Genomic DNA, 18,900 nt, shown 5'->3' with positions numbered 1-18,900 from the left:
TTAGATGGCATTATTAAGCTATCTTTAAAAATCAAGAAAAAAATCTCATTTACAGTACAATAGCACAAAAAATAAGATTCCTAAGAATAAACCTAACCAAGAAGGTGAAAAATATCTACAACAAAAACTATAAAACATTGATGAAAAATGGAAGAGGACACAAATAAATAGAAGGATACAGAAAAATACCCCCATGTTCATTGATTTAAAGAATTGGAATTGTTAAAGTGTCCATACTACCCAAAACAATCTAGAGATTCAATGTAATAGCTATCAAAATATCCATGATATTCTTCATAGAAATAGAAAGAAAAATCCTAAAATGTGTATGGAACCACAAAAGACCCCAAATAGCCAAATCAATCTTAAGCAAACAGAACCAAGCTAGAGGGATCACATACCTGGCTTCAAAATGTACTACAAAGCTGTAATAACCAAAATAGCATGGTAGTGGCATAAAAACAGGCATATACACCAAGGGACTAGAATACAGTTAGAAATAAATCCACAGACTTACAACCAACTGATTTTCAACATAGATGCCAAAAATACACGTTGGGGAAAGGGCAATCACTTCAATAAATAGTGTGGAGGAAACTGAGTATGTACATGCAGACATGGAACTAGACCCCTATCTCTCACCATATGCAAAAATTAACTCAAAATGGATTAAAACTTAAATATAATGTCAGGTCTCTGAGCCCAAGCCAAGCCATCGCATCCCCTGTGACTTGCATGTATACGCCCAGATGGCCTGACGTAACTGAAGAATCACAAAAGAAGTGAAAAGGTCCTGCCCCGCCTTAACTGATGACATTCCACCATTGTGATTTGTTCCTGCCCCACCTTAACTGATTAACCCTGTGAATCATTCTCCTGGCTCAGAAGCTCCCCAAGTGAGCACCTTGTGGCCCCAGCCCCTGCCCACCAGAGAACAACCCCCTTTGACTGTAATTTTCCTTTACCTACCCAAATCCTATAAAACAGCCCCACCCTTAACTCCCTTTGCTGACTCTCTTTTCGGACTCAGCCCACCTGTACCCAGGTGAAATAAACAGCCATGTTGCTCACACAAAGCCTGTTTGGTGATCTCTTCACACGGACGCGCATGAAATTTGGAGACATGACTCGGATCGGGGGACCTCCCTTGGGAGATCAATACCCTGTCCTCTTGTTCTTTGCTCCATGAGAAAGATCCACCAATGACCTCAGGTCCTCAGAACAACCAGCCTGAGAAACATCTCACCAATTTCAAATCCGGTAAGCAGCCTCTTTTTACTCTCTTCTCCAACCTCCCTCACTATCCCTCAACCTCTTTCTCCTTTCAATCTTGGCCCCACATTTCTATCTCTCCCTTCTCTTAATTTCAATTCCTTTCAATTCTTTTGGTAGAGACAAAGGAGACACGTTTTATCCGTGGACCCAAAACTCTGGCACCGGTCACGGACTGGGAAGGCAGCCTTCCCTTGGTGTTTAATCATTGCAGGGACACCTCTCTGATTATTCACCCACGTTTCAAAGGTGTCAGACCATGCAGGGACACCTGCCTTGGTCCTTCACCCTTAGCAGCAAGTCCCATTTTTCTGGGGCAGGGGCAAGTACCCCTCAACCCCTTCTCCTTCACCCTTAGCAGCAAGTCCCGCTTTCCTGGGGCAGGGGCAAGTACCCCTCAACCCCTTCTCCTTCACCCTTAGTGGCAAGTCCCGCTTTCCTAGGGGGCAAGAACCCCCCAATCACTTATTTCCACACCCCAACCTCTTATCTCTGCACCCCAATCCCTTATTTCTGCACCCTGACCTCTTATCTCTGTGCCCCAATCCCTTATTTCCACGCCCCAACCTCTTATATCTCTGCACCCCAATCCCTTATTTCTGCACCCTGATCTATCTCTGTGCCCCAACCCCTTTTCTGGAAGGTGAGAACACCTGAACCACTTCCCTCCATTTCTCTACTCTCTCTTTTCTCTAGGTTTGCTTCCTTCACTATGGGCAACCTTCCACCCTCCATTCCTCCTTCTACTCCCTTGGCCTGTGTTCTCAAAAACTTAAAACCTCTTCAACTCACACCTGACCTAAAACTTAAACGCCTTATTTTCTTCTGCAATGCTGCTTGACCCCAATACAAACTCAACAGTAGTTCCAAATAGCCAGAAAATGGCACTTTGAATTTTTCCATCCTGCAAAATCTAAATAATTCTTGTCGTAAAATAGGCAAACGGTCTGAGGTGCCTGACGTCCAGGCATTCTTTTACACATCAGTCCCTTCCTAGTCTCTGTGCCCAGTGCAACTCGTCCCAAATCTTCCTTCTTTCCCTCCCACCTGTCCCCTCAGTACCAACCCCAAGCGTCGCTGAGTCTTTCTAATCTTCCTTTTCTACAGACCCATCTGACCTCTCCCTTCTTCCCCAGGCTGCTCCTCGCCAGGCCGAGCTAGGTCCCAATTCTTCCTCAGCCTCTGCTCCTCCACCCTATAATCTTTTTACCACCTCTCCCCTCCTCACACCTGGTCTGGCTCACAGTTTCATTCCATGACTAGCCCTCCTCCACCTGCCCAGCAATTTACTCTTAAAAAGGTGGCTGGAGCTAAAGGCATAGTCAAGGTTAATGCTCCTTTTTCTTTATCCCAAATCAGAAGTGTTTAGGCTCTGTTTCATCAAATATAAAAATCCAGCCCAGTTCATGGCTCATTTGGCAGCAACCCTGAGACACTTTACAGTCTTAGACCCTAAAAGGTCAAAAGGCCGTCTTATTCTCAAAATACATTTTATTACCCAATCTGCTCCTGACATTAAATAAAACTCCAAAAATTAAATTCTGGCCCTCAAACCCCACAACAGGATTTAATTAACCTCGCCTTCAAGGTGTACAATAATAGAAAAAAGTTGCAATTCCTTGCCTCCACTGTGAGACAAACCCCAGCCACATCTCCAGCACACAAGAACTTCCAAACGCCTGAACTGCAGTGGCCACGCGTTCCTCCAGAACCTCCTCCCATAGGAGCTTGCTTCGTGTGCCAGAAATCTGGCCACTGGGCCAAGGAATGCCCGCAGCCCGGGATTCCTCCTAATCCACGTCCCATCTCTGTGGGACCCCACTGAAAATCGGACTGTTCAACTCACCTGGAAGCCACTCCCAGAGCCCCTGGAACACTGGCCAAAGGCTCTCTGACTGACTCCTTCCCAGATCTTCTTGGCTTAGCAGCTGAAGACTGACACTGCCCGATCACCTCAGAAGCACCCTTGACCATCACGGATGCCGAGCTATGGGTAACTCTCACAGTGGAAGGTAAGCCCGTCCCCTTCTTAATCAATACGGAGGCTACCCACGCCACATTACCTTCTTTTCAAGGGCCTGTTTCCCTTGCCTCCATAACTGTTGTGGGTATTGACGGCCAGGCTTCTAAACCTCTTAAAACTCCCCAACTCTGGTGCCAACTTAGACAATACTCTTTTAAGCACTCCTTTTTAGTTATCCCCATCTGCCCAGTTCCCTTATTAGGCTGAGACACTTTAACTAAATTATCTGCTTCCCTGACTATTCCTGGACTACAGCTGTATCTCATTGCCACCCTTCTTCCCAATCCAAAGCCTCCTTTGTGTCCTCCTCTTGTATACCCCCACCTTAACCCACAAGTATAAGATATCTCTACTCCCTCCTTGACGACCGATCATGCACCCCTTACCATCTCATTAAAACCTAATCACCCTTACCGCACTCAATGCCAGTATCCCATTCCGCAGCACGCTTTAAAAAGATTAAAGCCTGTTATCATTCGCCTGTTACAGCATGGCCTTTTAAACCCTATAAACTCTCCTTACAATTCCCCCATTTTTCCTGTCCTAAAACGAGACAAGCCTTACAAGTTAGTTCAGGATCTGCACCTTATCAACCAAATTGTTTTGCCTATCCACCCCGTGGTGCCAAACCCATATACTCTCCTATCCTCAATACCTCCCTCTACTACCCATTATTCTGTTCTGGATCTCAGACATGCTTTCTTTACTATTGCTTTGCACCCTTCATCCCAGCCTCTCTTTGCCTTCACTTAGACTGACCCTGACACCCATTAGGCTCAACAAATTACCTGGGCTGCACTGCCACAAGGCTTCACAGACAGCCCCCATTACTTCAGTGAAGCCCAAATTTCATCCTCATCTGTTAGTCATACTCCTGTTCACCGTTCTCAACTACTCATACATGCCCTGCTCTTCTTTACACTGCCGGTTTACACTGTTTCTCCAAGACATCACAGCTGATATCTCCTGGTGCTATCCCCAAACTGCCACTCTAAACTCTTGAAGTAAATAAATAATCTTTGCTGGCAGGACTCTGCTGAATCTCCTTAGGCACTCTCTAATCAGATATCCTAGGTCCTCCCAATTCTTAGACCTTTTATACCTGTTTTTCTCCTTCTGTTATTCCATTTAGTTTCTCAATTCATACAAAACCGTATCCAGGCCATCACCAATCATTCTATATGACAAATGTTTCTTCTTACATCCCCACAATATCACCCTTTACCACAAGACCTCCCTTCAGCTTAATCTCTCCCACTCTAGATTCCCACGCTGCCCCTAATCCCACTTGAAGCAGCCCTGAGAAACATCGCCCATTCTCTCTCCCTACCACCCCTCAAAAATTTTCACCACCCCAACACTTCAACACTATTTTGTTTTATTTTTCTTATTAATATAAGAAGGCAGGAATGTCAGGCCTCTGAGCCCAAGCCAAGCCATCGCATTCCCTGTGACTTGCACGTATACGCCCAGATGGCCTGAAGTAACTGAAGAATCACAAAAGAAGTGAAAAGGTCCTGCCCCACCTTAACTGATGATATTCCACCATTGTGATTTGTTCCTGCCCCACCTTAACTGAGTGATTAACCCTGTGAATTGTTCTCCTGGCTCAGAAGCTCCCCAACTGAGCACCTTGTGACCCCCACCCCTGCCCACCAGAGAACAACCCCCTTTTACTGTAATTTTCCTTTACCAACCCAAATCCTATAAAATGGCCCCACCCCTATCTCCCTTCGCTGACTCTCTTTTTGGACTCAGCCCGCCTGCACCCAGGTGAAATAAACAGCCATGTTGCTCAAACAAAGCCTGTTTGGTGGTCTCTTCACACGGATGTGCATGAAATGTAAGACCTAAAATTACTAGAAAGAAGAAAGCTGCTAGAAGAAAACACTTGGGGAAATACTTTAGGATATTGATCTTAGCAAAGATATTTTGTATGGAACCTCAAAAGCACAGGAAACTAAAGCAAAAATAGGCAATTGGGACTAAATCAATCCGAAAAGCTTTTGAACAGCAAAGAAAACAATCGACAGAGTGAAGAGATATCTCACAGAATGGAATAATATATTTAAACTATCCATCTGACAAGGGATCAGTAATCAGAATATATAAGGAATGCAAACAATTCAATAGCAAAACACAAAAACAAAACAAATAATCAAATTTCAAAGATGGGCAAATGACCTAAATAGACATTTCTTAAGTTACAATTAGACAAGAGGAATAAGTTCTGGTGTTCTATCACATAGTAGGGTGACTATAATTAAAAACAATATATTGTATGTTTCAAAATAGCTAGAAGAGAGAATTGTTAGGGTTTTCACTACAAAAAAAGATACATGTTTGAGGTGATATATTTGCAAATTACCTTAATTTGATCTTTCACAATGTGCACATGCATCAAAACATCAAATGGTACCCGATAAATATATACAAGCATTGTGTGTGAATTAAAAGTAGAAGAAACAAAAATACATTTGACTTTTATATATTGAAAACAAGCCGTGATTACTCATACCTTTTTCCAAATTTCTGTGGACATCAGAGCTAAGGTACAGTCTGCAACTTAGAAAGTATTCACTTATTTCTAGCTATTGATATTATTACCAAAAGAGTTATAACCGATTGTAGGTACATCTGAGTGTTGTTGATAAAAGTATACCATTCCGTGAGTACTAATTATTCAATCGGATGGACCACATTATACAAATGCAAATGTCATTAAATATTAGGTAGAAAGCACTACTGGAGACACAAAAACAATTCAGTCAAACTTCTTCTTTACTAGAAGCCCATAGTCAAGTGGATAAGACAGACATAGTGACAAGTACACCTAGCACAATGCCTGACACATAAAAATGTTGAACTATATTTATTGAATGATTTTCTCTATCATTTTTCTATTCTCTATTTTATTTCTGCCTTATCCTTTATTTCCTTATTTCTTATTTGAGGTTTAATTTGCTTTTTATTTTCTAGTTTCTTAAGATGAAAGACTAGGTTCTTTATTTGAGATCTCTTTTTTTAACTTTTATTTTAGGTTCAGGGTACATGTGCAGGTTTGTTATACAGGTAAATTGCATGTTGCGGAGGTTTGATGTACAGATTATTTCATCACCCAGGTAATAAGCATAGTACCCCAATAGGTAGTTTTTCAATCCTCATCCTCTTTTCACCCTTCCCCCTTCAAGTAGGTTCTAATGTCTGTTTTTCTCTTCTTTGTGTCCATGTGTGTTCAACGTTTATATGTGAAAACATGTAGCATTTGGTTTTCTATTGCTGCTAATCACTTAGAGTAATGGCTTCTAGCTCCTTCCATTTTGCTGCAAAAACATGATTTTGTTCTCTTTTATGTCTGTATAGTATTCCATGATGTATATGTACCATATTTTCCTTTATCTAGTCTACTGTTGACAGGCATTTAGGTTGATGCCATATTTTTGCTATAGTGAATAGTGCTGTGATGAACATATACTTGCATGTGTCTTTATGGTAGAATGTTTTATATTCCTTTGGGTATATACCTAATAATGGGAATGCTGGGTCACATGGCAATCATGTTTTAAATTCTTTCAGAAATTGTCAAATGCTTTCCACAATGGCTGAACTACATTTCCATCAGGAGTATATAAACATTCCCTTTTCTCCACAACCTTGCCAGCATCTGTTTTAGGGTTTTTTTTTTTTTTTTTTTTTTTTTGACTTTTTAATGGTAGCTATTCTGACTGGTGTGAGATGGTATCTCATTTCAGCTTTGATTTGCATTTTTCAAATGATTAGTAATTTTGGCCATTTAGTATATGCTTGTTAGCCGTGTGTATGCCTTCTTTTGAAAAGTGTCTGTTCATGTTCTTTGCCCACTTTTTAATGGGGTTGCTTGTTGTCTTGCTTATGAATTTGTTTAGGTTCCTTATAGATGCTGAATAGTAGACCTTTGTCAGATGCATAGTTTGCAAATATTTTCTCTCATTCTGTAGGTTATCTGTTTACACAAGCAAGTGGAAAAACATTCCATGCTCATGAATAGGAAGATAAATGTTGTTAAAATGACCAACTGCCCAAAGCAATTTATAGATTTACTGCTATTCCTACCAACCTACCAAAGACGTTCTTCATAGAATTAGAAAAAAAACTATTTTAAAATTCCTTCGGAACCAAGAAAGAGCCTGAATAGCCAAGGCAATCCTAATTAAAAATAACAGAGCCAGAGGCATCACATTACTTGACTTCAAACTATGTTACAAGACTACAGTAACCAAACAGCACAGTACTGGTAAAACAGACACATAGAATAGAACAGAATAGGAGCCCAGAAATGATGACACACACTTACAACCATCTGATCTTTGACAAAGTTGACAAAAACAGGCAATGGGAAAATGACAGCCTATTCAATAAACGGTGCTGGAATAACTGGCTAGCCATATGCAAATGATTGAAACTGGACTCAATTCTTAAACCATATACAAAAAATCAACTCGAGATGGATTAAAAACTTAAATGCAAAACCTTAAAGTGTAAAAATCCTGGACGATAACCTAGGAAATACCACTCTGGACATAGGACCAGGCAAAGATTTCATGAAAGAGACATAGAAAACCAAATGCAACAAAAACAAAAATTGACAATGGGATCTAATTAAACAAAAAGCTTCTGCACAGCAAAAGAAACTATCAACAGCAATCTTTCTCCTTTTTTAAAAAAATATAAGCACTGATAGCAGTACATTTCTCTCTAAGCACAGCATTAGCTGTATTCCATACATTTTGGTATGTCATGTTTTGATTTTTATTAATCTCAAAGTATTTTCTAATTTTATATTTTTGACCCATTGGTTATTTAGGAGTGTGTTGTTTAATTTTACATATTTACAACTTCTCCAAATCTCATCATGTTACTGACTTCTAATTTAATTTATTTGTGTTTGTAGCACCAAAGCTGTATGATTTCATTTGTTTCAAATTTAGTGAGATTTGTTTTATAGCCTAATATATGGCCAATCTAGACAATGTAACATGAGAAGAATGTGTTTCTGCTGTTGTTGGGTAGAGCATTCTATAGATACCTGTTAGGTTTAGTTGCTTAATATACTTATTTAAGTCTTCTGTTTCCTTGTTTGTCTCTGTCTAGTTGTTCTATCCACTATTGAAAATGGGTCATTGAAGTATCCAACTGTTATTATTGAATTGTCTATTTCTCCCTTTAATTCAAAGTCAATTTTTGCTTCATGCAGCTCTGTTGTTAGATGAATATGGATTTACAAATGTATTTGTCTCTAGTATAAATTTTTGTATTAAAGCTTTTTTTTTTCTGATTTTAGTGTAGCCATCCAGCTCTGTTTTGATTACTGTTTTCATGATATATCTTTTTCCATTTTTTTTACTTTCAACTTGTTTGTGTCTTTGAATCAAAAGTATGTCTCCAATAGACAGTTCATGGTTCCCTGTTTTCTTTTGTTGACTCTACCACATGTCTCTGAGGCCTGTTCACTTTTCTTTGTTGCTTTTTCTTTCTTTACCTAAGAACATAAAACTCAATTAGCCCATAGTTATTCTGAATATGTGATATTGTGACCTTGATCATAATTTCTGCTTAGTTTTAGAGATTTTTAAGAAAGCCATAAATAACTTACCTCTGAAATCTTCAACCTAAGTTTTTTAAGTTCTTTTCCTAGCAATGTTTTGTTTTGGGTCTATTTTCTAAGGCACTTTGTTATATAAGAAAAATAATTACCTAGAGCTCAGCTTTATAAAGACTAACATAGTATCCATTAGTTGCAAAGAATAGAGCTTTTGAAGGTTGGCAAGAAAGTATTTGCCAACTCTCACCCCCATTTTTCTTGATATTTCTTCCCCCAGAAAATCTATGTCTATCTTTGCACATCTTAGTGGTTTCATTACTGCCTCTGCAACTGTGCTCAGAGTGGCTGATAAGTTTTCATGAGCCCTTTAATCTAATAGGCTGCTTACTCCCTCTCATTTCTTAGTAATCGGATTTCCAAACAAGGCTTGATTCTACCCAGTGATCTTCAGCTTCCTTCCCACAAACCTTCTTTCATTTCAGCAACAATCAAATGCTGTTTCTATGTGTTCTGTTATTTTGTTATTCTCATTTGATAGTGGGTTTGTGGACCATGGAATTTTGGCCACTCTCATCCAACATCCTTTGAATTATTATTTTTTTCATAAACCATTTTCTCAGATGGGTCTATTCACATCTGTATGATGATAAATATCTTCAGCAGAGATGACCTGAAGGGGTCCTATCTTTGTACCAACCCATTGTGTGAAGCTCTCAAGCACTAAGCTTGCTATTATTGAGCAGTTACAATATACAATTGCAGGGTTATTTTGTCCTGCAAATTCTATGAGAGAATAGTAATCAAAGAAAATAGTAGAAAGGAGGAGGCAGGGTGTAACTTATGGGAAAAATCAAAAGAAGTACTCGAACTATATAAAAAATACACAAATGAATTTTTTGAAAAGTTAGTTTATAAGAATTTAAAATAAAATTTTCCTTATGCTTTAGGAAAAAAAATGCACATTTATACTAACCAGACACTGACCAAATCTAGAAGGAATCTCCCACAACTACCACAACATGCCTAAAGAGAAAGAAAATCCTAATATAAGATTATAAATATGTGTATATATAGTCATATTCAGATTATATAAGAAATACACATGTTTATGGGTGTGCATATATATAGAGAGAAAGTAATAGAGATCATCTATATAGATCTCTGAATATAACCTCATTTATAGAGTCTCTCTCCTGTTTTATGTGTCCCCAAATAACGTCTCACTAAGACATTTTTGCAATATTTTTTTCTCCCAATTGGGATAGAGCCCAGCTACCGCTGATACATTAAAAGTTCTCTTCTCTCAGCTTTCTAAACCAATGGCAAATACTCTGGCTTCTGCAGGTCACAGACAACTTTCTGACCAGGGCCTAGTTATAGTCACTTCCATCATAAGTTTAGTATTTCTGCTGAGCACAGCGTGAAGAGAAGATATATTTCTCCAGGATACTTAAAGATAGATCTGAATCCTGTGCTCATCTCTTACAATACCAGTAATGCCAGACTATGACTTCAGAGGATATAGCATCCTCAAAAGGGCCACCCTTTGCTCCTCCCAAACTGTAGCAAAATGTATGGAACATTTAACTCAAATTTGATACCATCTATACCTCCCAAAAATTGCATCTGAGTGTTTTCCTCTAGCCAAGCATTTACAGGAGGAGAATGTAGATGTGCATATCGACTCCACTGTTGTGACAGTTGTCATTTAATGGAGAAATCTATCAGCAGCCACACTAAATTGTTTGGGGGCTTTCTTCACCTTTTAACTCAATGGAGAGAAAAGTGTTTTAGGCCAACTTCTATTGGTTGGGCATTACTTCTATTTTTTAAACTTTATTTTGAGTTAATTGTAGATTCAGAGAGATCCCATGTACCCTTTATTCATTTTCCCCCAGTAGTAATATTTTGCTACACCCAGATATGGACATTGATATAGTCAAGATAAGGGAACCCTTTTATCACTATAAGGATCCCTCATATGGCCCTTTTATAGCCATATTCGTACTCTTCCCCCTACTTTTTCCTGACTTCTATTCTGATGCTCATGCAGAATTGTATTTATTCATCTATCCCTTTGTTCACGTATTCATCTAACAAATATTGGCTGGATGTGGTGGCTCACACCTGTAATCCCAGCACTTTGGGAGGCCAAGGCGGGCAGATCACCTGAGGTCAGGAGTTTGAGATCAGCCTGGGCAACATGATGAAACCCCGTCTCTACTAAAAATACCAAAATTAGCCGGGCATGGTGGCACATGCCTGTAATCCTGGCTACTCAAGAGGCTGAGGCAGGTGAATCACTTGAACTCAGGAGGCAGAGGTTGCAGTGAGCCGAGATCAAGCCACTGCACTCCAGCCTGGGAAACAGAGCAAGACTGCCTCAAAAAAACAAACAAACAAACAAACAAAAAATATCTACTAAGCCCCTATATACAAGCACTGAAGATACAGTAATTGTGCAAAAATCAAACATGATTGATCTTCACAATTTAGTAGATGAAGCAGATACTAACCAACTAAGCATTCAAATAAATGTAAAGCTTCAAATATGATAATTCTCATAATCGAGCCATAAATATTATGAAACCCACAATGAAGTTTAATGGAGAGAAGGAAAATGTAAGCTTCCTAGAGGAAGGAAAGACTGAGCTGATATTTGAAGGGCAAGTTAGAGTAGCTAGGCAGAAAGAGTGTATGTACTGAGCATCCAGGCAGAGAGAATAGAGGCAGCATCCTGCAGGAAGGAAGGAGGGCCCTGGATAACTGTAACAGCCTCTGACAGTTTCCTATCTTCCTTTTATTTTTTAATTATTACTATTATTTATTTATTTATTTTTTGAGAGAGAGAGAGAGAGGGTCTTACTCTGTCATTCAGGCTGGAGTGCAGTGGTACAATCATGGCTCACTACAACTTTGATCTCCTGGGCTCAAGAGATCCTCCCACCTCAGTCTTCCAGATAGCTGAGACTACGGGCACAGACCACCATGCCCAGCTAATTTTTTGTAGTGATAGGGTCTCACTGTGTTTTTCAGATTGGTCTCAAACTCCTGGCCTCAAGCGACCTTCCTGCCTCAGCCTCCCAAAATACTAGTATTACAGGTGTGAGCCACCACACCTGGCTCACCCTCTTTTTCACTCTCATAATAATGTATTTTGTGGAATTGAAGTTTTAATTTCAATAAAGCTCAACTTATCTATCTCTTGCATTTCATTTAAGATTTTTTGTTCCTACTAGGTCATGGAGATATTTTCCCATGTTTTCATTTAGAGGATTTAATCTAGGTTCACTACTGTTTTCTTCAGGACTTTTCCTTCAATGTATGTTAGTGAGACTGGCTTATAAAATCTCCTTTTCCCTAATGTCTTTGTCGGGTTTGGTTATCAAGGTTATTCTGCATTAATAAATTAAAGCTACTCCCTCTTGACCGGGTACAGTGGTTCATGCCTGTAATCTCAGCACTTTGGGAGGCTGAGGCGAACAGATTTCTACAGCCCAGGAGTTCAAGACCAACCTAAGCAACATAGTGACACCCTGTCTCAATACAAAATTTTTAAAATTTTTTAAAAAGCTACACCCTCTTTTTTGATCTCTGATTTTGTAAAAGTATAGCATTATTTTTTAACTATTTTATAAAAATCACAAATGAAGTAGTCTCTGGAGTTTTCTTTCTTGGAAGGTTTTAAGTTATGGATTTAATGTCTTCAATTTTCTATTTTTTGTTCTTTGTATAAAGTTTTTTAAGAAATTGGCCAATTCATCTGAAGTTTTAATTTTATTGGCATAACTCTTTCATAATTTCCTTTATTTTTAAATATCTGCATAATATGAAGTCATATCTCCTTTTTATTGCTGACATCTTGGTTCATTTTGCCAGAGGTTTGTCAGTTTTATTCATCTTTAAAGAAACTTTTAACTTTGTGTATCCTAGCTATTGCATATTTCTTTTCTTGTTCACTAATTTCTGATCCTTCTTATGTGATTCCCCTCTTTCACTTCCTTTGGATTTAATTTGTTTTATATTTATCTTCTATTCAAGAGGATATTAGCCCATTGTTATTCCATCTTCTTCACACATGTGCATTTAAAGCTATAAATTGGTCTTAGGTTCACTTTAGTTTCCTCTTATAGGTTTTTATAACTTTATGTGAAGTATAACATATAAATATGTTCAACTTATATAGTTTAAATAATTATCACAAAGTCAACATACCCACAGAATTGGGTAGTATAATATATTACCAGTACCCCAGAAGTCACTTACATATCTCCTTCCAATCATCACTGCATGCCTTCTAAAAGGCAACTACTATTCAGACATTTAACTTAATAGACTATTTTTTCCTATGTTTGAATTGGACTTATACAGTATGCATTGTTTTGTGCCTGTATTCTTTCACTCAGTATTATATTTGTCTGATTCATTCCTATTGCTGCAAGTAGGTTTAGTTCACTGATTTTTATTGCTGAATGATATTTTGTTGCATGACTGTGAATTTATTGATGCACTCTAGAGATCACGAACGTTTGGGTTATTTCTAGTTTGAAGCTTTTATAGGCATTGGAGGTGAGGGAATATATACCTAGGAATGAAATTATTGATCATACAAAATGTATATACTCAACTTTAATGGAGAAATAGTATTGAAAGTGCTTTCACCAATAGCAGTTGAAAGAATTCCAGCTCCTTCACATCCTTGCTAAATATTTGGTGTATTGGTCAGTATTCTCTAGAAAGACAGAAACAATGTGATGTATATAGAGATGTATGAGAGGAGATTTATTAGGAGAATTGGCTTACATGATTATGGAGACAACAGGCCAGGCCCATCTATAAGCTGGAGACCCTGTGATACCAGCAGTGTGGCTCAGTCCAAGTCCAAAGGCCTCAAACTCAGGGAAGCCAATGATAAAATTCTATGTCCAAGGCAGAAGTCTCTCAGAACTCGAGGGGATGAGGCAGGGTCACTAGTATAAGTCCTGGAGTCTAAAAACCAGCGAACCTGGAGTTCTGATATCCATGAAGATGAGAAAAGTGTATCCCAGTTCCAGAAGAGGGAGAAAATTGTCTTTTTGTTCTATCCAGGCTCCTAGCTGATTGGATGGTGCCCACACACATTCAGGGCAGATCTTCCCCACTAGGCCCCCTGACTTATATGCCAATCTCCTCTAGAAACATCCTCATAGACACGCCTAGAAATAATCCTTTACCAGATCTATAGATAATCCTTAATTCAGTAAAGTTGACATCTAAAATTCACCATCACATTTGGCATTGCCAGTCTTTGTCATTTTATCATTCTAGTGGACAGGTAGTGTTAGCTCATTATGGTTTTTATTTGTGGAATCAGCTTTTGATCTTCCGCAAATAGTATTCTGAAATATTGACTAGTATTCTATTGAAATATAAGATCAAGTAAGGGAGATTACTTCTTTATAATATTGAGTTTTTCAGTCCATGAAAATAGTATATCCACCTATTTATTTAGTTATTTTAAAATTTCTCTTGATGACATGATTCTCAACGTAGGAAAGCATTAACATTCTACTATGAAGTATGCTTGCAGTAGGTTTTTTTTATAGTTATCCTTTCCCAGTTTAAGAAAGTGTCCTTATATTTCAAATTTCCTGAGAATTTTTTTAAATCATAAATGAAAATTTAAATTCCTCCTGGCTTGAAATTCTTCTTCCTACATGACCATTTCACTTCCCTTTATCCACTTTGGTCTGACTAGTTTATTGTTACCTTTCAAGTTTCAACATAAATCCCACTTCTATGTGGAGGCCTTTGCAGGCCACTTGACTAGGTTCTGATCCTCCACTATATCCAATTATTCACCAAACTTTGTTTTAATTAATTATCTATCACCTTCACTAATTTGTAAGCTCCCAGAGCATAAGCTCTATGTCTGTTATTCACCTCTCTGTCCTCAGAGTCCAGAACACAACTTGACACACAGTATTGACCTAACAAATAAATAACGACCTACTTTGAAAAGAGAAATGATAAAAGAGAAGAAGGGAAAGAGGAGTCATCTAAGGATACAAACTATAGAGAAGACTTTATTATAAAGCAGTCTCTGTCTCTTCCTACCCTCACTGATCTCTTGCCTTTCTCCAATCTAGATAAAGTGAAGAATTTTTCCTCTTTTGAAAACTAAGAGCAGATGGCTGAAATCCCAGAGTGAACTATTATTAATAGTTATGTAGTTTTACAGTAGAAAATATACAGACAATGTTATTTCTCAAAAACCAGTCTAACAGAGTAGTGAGCAAAGAAATAAATTATGGAATAGCAGAGAGAGTGTGTTTGGTATAACAATGATCTGCCTTAACAGATTCTCATCAAGTCAACCAGGTAACAGCAAGATCCTAGAACAAGGACAATGAGAGGAGGATATTTGGTCTGGATATTTGTCCCCTCCAAATCTCATGTTAAAATGTGATCTCCAGTGTTGGAGGTAGGGCCTGGTGGGAGGTGTTTTGGTCATGGGGACAGATCCCTCATGAATAGCTTGGTGCCCTCCCCATGGTAATGAGTGAGTCATCACTCTATTAATTCACATGAGAGCTGGTTGTTTAAAAGAGCCTGGCATCTGTCTTGCTCTTTCTCTCTCCATGTGACAAACTTGCTTCCCCTTTGCCTTATGCCATGATTGTAAGCTTCCTGAGACCTCAACAGAAGCAGATGCCAGCCCTATGCTTCTTGTATAGCCTGCAGAAGCATGAGCCAAAATAAACCTCTTTCCTTTATAAATTACCCACTCTCAGATATTCCTTTATAGCAATGAAAAATGAGCTAACACAGAGAGCAAAGCCCATTAAAGAAGTTATTACCAATCTTTATGGAGAGTCTATATGTGAGAGCCTAGATTGCCACATTCATTGAATATGTGTCTAATTCTCCTACAAGAGAATTTCCAGAGGAAAGAACTCTGTTGTTGGTTGAGATATTGTCTTGCACAGCCTGCATTTCACTTGAACTTATTAGGCAGATTTAATATGTCAGCAATGTTAAGTGCCTTAACAATCATAATGGCTTTTGACCCTGTAATCCCATAAGTCTGTGACCTAAGGAAAAACCCAAAAATATAAAAGATTTACATGTGAATATTTCCATCTCATTGTTATTTACTGGAGCAAAAAGTAAGACATTACCTAAGTGCCACACAATAGGTCATTGATTAAATAAATTATGGAATAATCATATGACATAATGTCATTGCAACATTTTACAGTTGTATGTTCAAAGATTCTGTAATAACATGAAAAAATACTCTTGATCTAAGGTTAATCAAAGCAACCAACCAACAAACAAAACATTGGATAAAAATGTACACATATAATTCCACTAATATTGAAGACAAAGGAAATGGAGCCAATTGTTAACTGTCATCATTTCTGGGTGGTGGAATTTTAGAAACTTTTTACTTTCTTATTTAGACTTTTCTTTATATATACATTATTTATTTTATTTCCCCTTTGCTTTATGCTATGATTGTAAGCTTCCTAAGGCCTTCACCAGAAACAGATGCCAACCCTATGCTTTTTGTATAGCCTGCAGAACCGTGGGCCAAAATAAACCCCTTTCCTTTATAAATTACTCAGGTATTCCTTTATAGCAATGCAAAATGGACTAACACATATATATGTATTATATATGTATTAACATATGCCAGCAATATGATCAGTGGAATAAGTCATAATATGGGTTTAAGCCTCACTTTTGGCTTGACTAATTTTGTTATTTTAGAGTAGCCTATTAGCTTCTCAGAGTCTCTGTTTCCTCACTTGCACATTGGAGAAATTGCCCTGGCTCTCTCTAAGAGTTGAGAATAAAAAGAGGAATTATAAGCAAGAAATCAAGTTCACTTGATAAAAATGCAAAGCCTCAAAAGCCACATCAATGACAGTATTACACTAAGCACCAAATGCTGCCCTCTGATTCTTTGACATCTAAGATGAAAAAGAATGGAGGAAGCACAGAAATAACAGTAAGTAAATAAATAATGTACCAGCATAGTCATTTTAAGACTGACTCACATTCCTTTTTAGTTGGTGATAATGATCTCTAATTTCTCCACATATTCTTGAACTTTTATTCCAGTGTAGATGCTCAGCTCCGTGATTCAATTTATGTAGATTTCATTTTAAAGCATTTTCTTAGTAAATTCTCAAAATTCTCAAAGAGTTTGGGGAAAGTTGTTCTCTCTTTCTTTTTAGATGAGTATTTGACAGCTTAAATATATTTCCAGCTGAATACAAAACCTTAAGTTGTGCTAGATAAAACATGGCATGCATACCTCATTTAATGGAAAAGCTAGACACTGTAGATTTCTGAAGGGAAGGGGTTTGGAGAATTTCACCCTGTATGCTTTGAAGCCATAAAATTTCCCTATCTGCTGCTACTTTTATTTGTGAGATTACTCTGTTTGCTTTTCTTTTGTGAGAAATAACAGATGTATATACTTTTACTCCCAGTAAAGCCAGTCTAGTTACTGGTATAAACCAGCCTTTTGGGAAGCATGTCTGGAATTTGTAAGCGTGGCTATGGGTTAGGGGCAAGAGCATCTCAGACAAGCAGCGTGCTCCTTTTCAATAGTATCTCTGAGCTAGCAAGCTTAAGCCTTGGGGAAAAATTGCTTCAATTCTGATCCCAACCTTGATGATAATTAAGCAGATCAGCCTCTCTTGAAATAAACAAAGTTATTTATAAGAAGAGTGTAGAGGACATGGATAGGACTTAAGGTCGTTTTGTAGCTGGGATCCTGGGTAAGTCACTAATCTCTCTGGGCATCCAAACCGTTATCTGAAAACAGGAGGTGACATACTTCAAAAGCTTATTATATGGATAAATAAAATAATGAATGTGAAACATTTTGTTAATTCACAACTACTAATCAAATAATGAAAGGCTGGTTAGGGCCAGAGGAAGGTGATTATTTTAGGATCAGAGGACTTTATGCTTAATTAGTCTTTTATAAAATAATTAATTTAGGATTTCCTGCTGTGGTAGATTGAAAATAGCCAAATTCTTTGAAGCTTGTCCCATCAAGAGGTGGCATCTATTTCTCCACTTGTTGAGTCTGGACTGGTCTTATGACTTGCTTTAACCAAAAGAATATGGCAGGGATGACAATGTGGGACTTCTGAGTGTGGGTGTCAAGTGGCCTTATAACTTCCATTCTCTTGGAACCTTGTATCCATGGGAAGAAGGCTAAGCTGGCCTCCTGTAGAAAGAGAGACCATGAGGTGAGAGAAGACCAGACTTCCCTGCTATCCCAGGTGTCCCAGGTGAAATATCCAACTGACACCAAATGGAGCACAAATAAGCTACCCTTGCTGAATCTGGTCCTAATTTCTGACCCAGAAAATTCTAAACAAATAAACAAAGATTATCCTTTTAAACTTCTAGATTTTAGGATGGCTTGTTACATAACAAAAGCTAACCGATACATATTTCACGCCTCCTTTCTGACAAGAATAGCCTCTAATGTGCACGTCTAAGCAAAAACAGCCTGTTTACAACTCGGTGATTTCTTTTGAATGGTGTTGAGATGGTTAGCAGTTCACAGGAAGGGAGGAAAGCAGCTGAGAAAGTTAAGCAAGATATGAGAGAAGTAAAATTCATTTATTACCATAGTGGGATCTCCTGTGTCAAGTCCAGTTCTAACAACCTCATCATTTTGAAATACAACAGAAAACTCTTTTAGAAGGAAAGGATGCCACAAAGTCGATGCAGTGAGATTTATGTATTTTACCCTCCAGGAAAGCCCTCTTCGTGTTTGTTTTACATCAGTTTTCACCAACTTAATATTCTGGTTTCTAAGCCAATAGAAAATTAAGAGAGGGATATAACATGCAGACATGAATTTGGTGATGAGAAATGAAAGATGACTATTGAAAAGGAGGAAAAAGGGGATCTCTAAAATGCACAGAGGCAATTAAGTAGCAGAGGAATTAGTATAGAATTAAACATTTTTATTTGTGCCAAGACATAGGTGTTGAGGGGACCATCACAT

General features: G+C 38.1%; 1 annotated feature.

The window, feature by feature from the left end:
- Nucleotides 234-1,433: an enhancer, noted in NCBI's record as "MED14-independent group 3 enhancer chr5:135880336-135881535 (GRCh37/hg19 assembly coordinates)". NCBI's record gives its function as "activates an origin of replication core promoter dependent on BRD2, BRD4, P300/CBP and CDK7 cofactors, and independent of MED14, by STARR-seq in HCT116 cells {active_cell/tissue: HCT116}" and the evidence as "EXISTENCE:reporter gene assay evidence [ECO:0000049][PMID:35650434]".

This window comes from Homo sapiens, chromosome 5 (assembly GCF_000001405.40).
Source record: "Homo sapiens chromosome 5, GRCh38.p14 Primary Assembly".
In the NCBI taxonomy this organism is placed as follows: Eukaryota; Metazoa; Chordata; class Mammalia; order Primates; family Hominidae; genus Homo; species Homo sapiens.
Note: the sequence above shows the minus strand (reverse complement) of the source record. Positions and strands in the feature narration are given on the sequence as shown.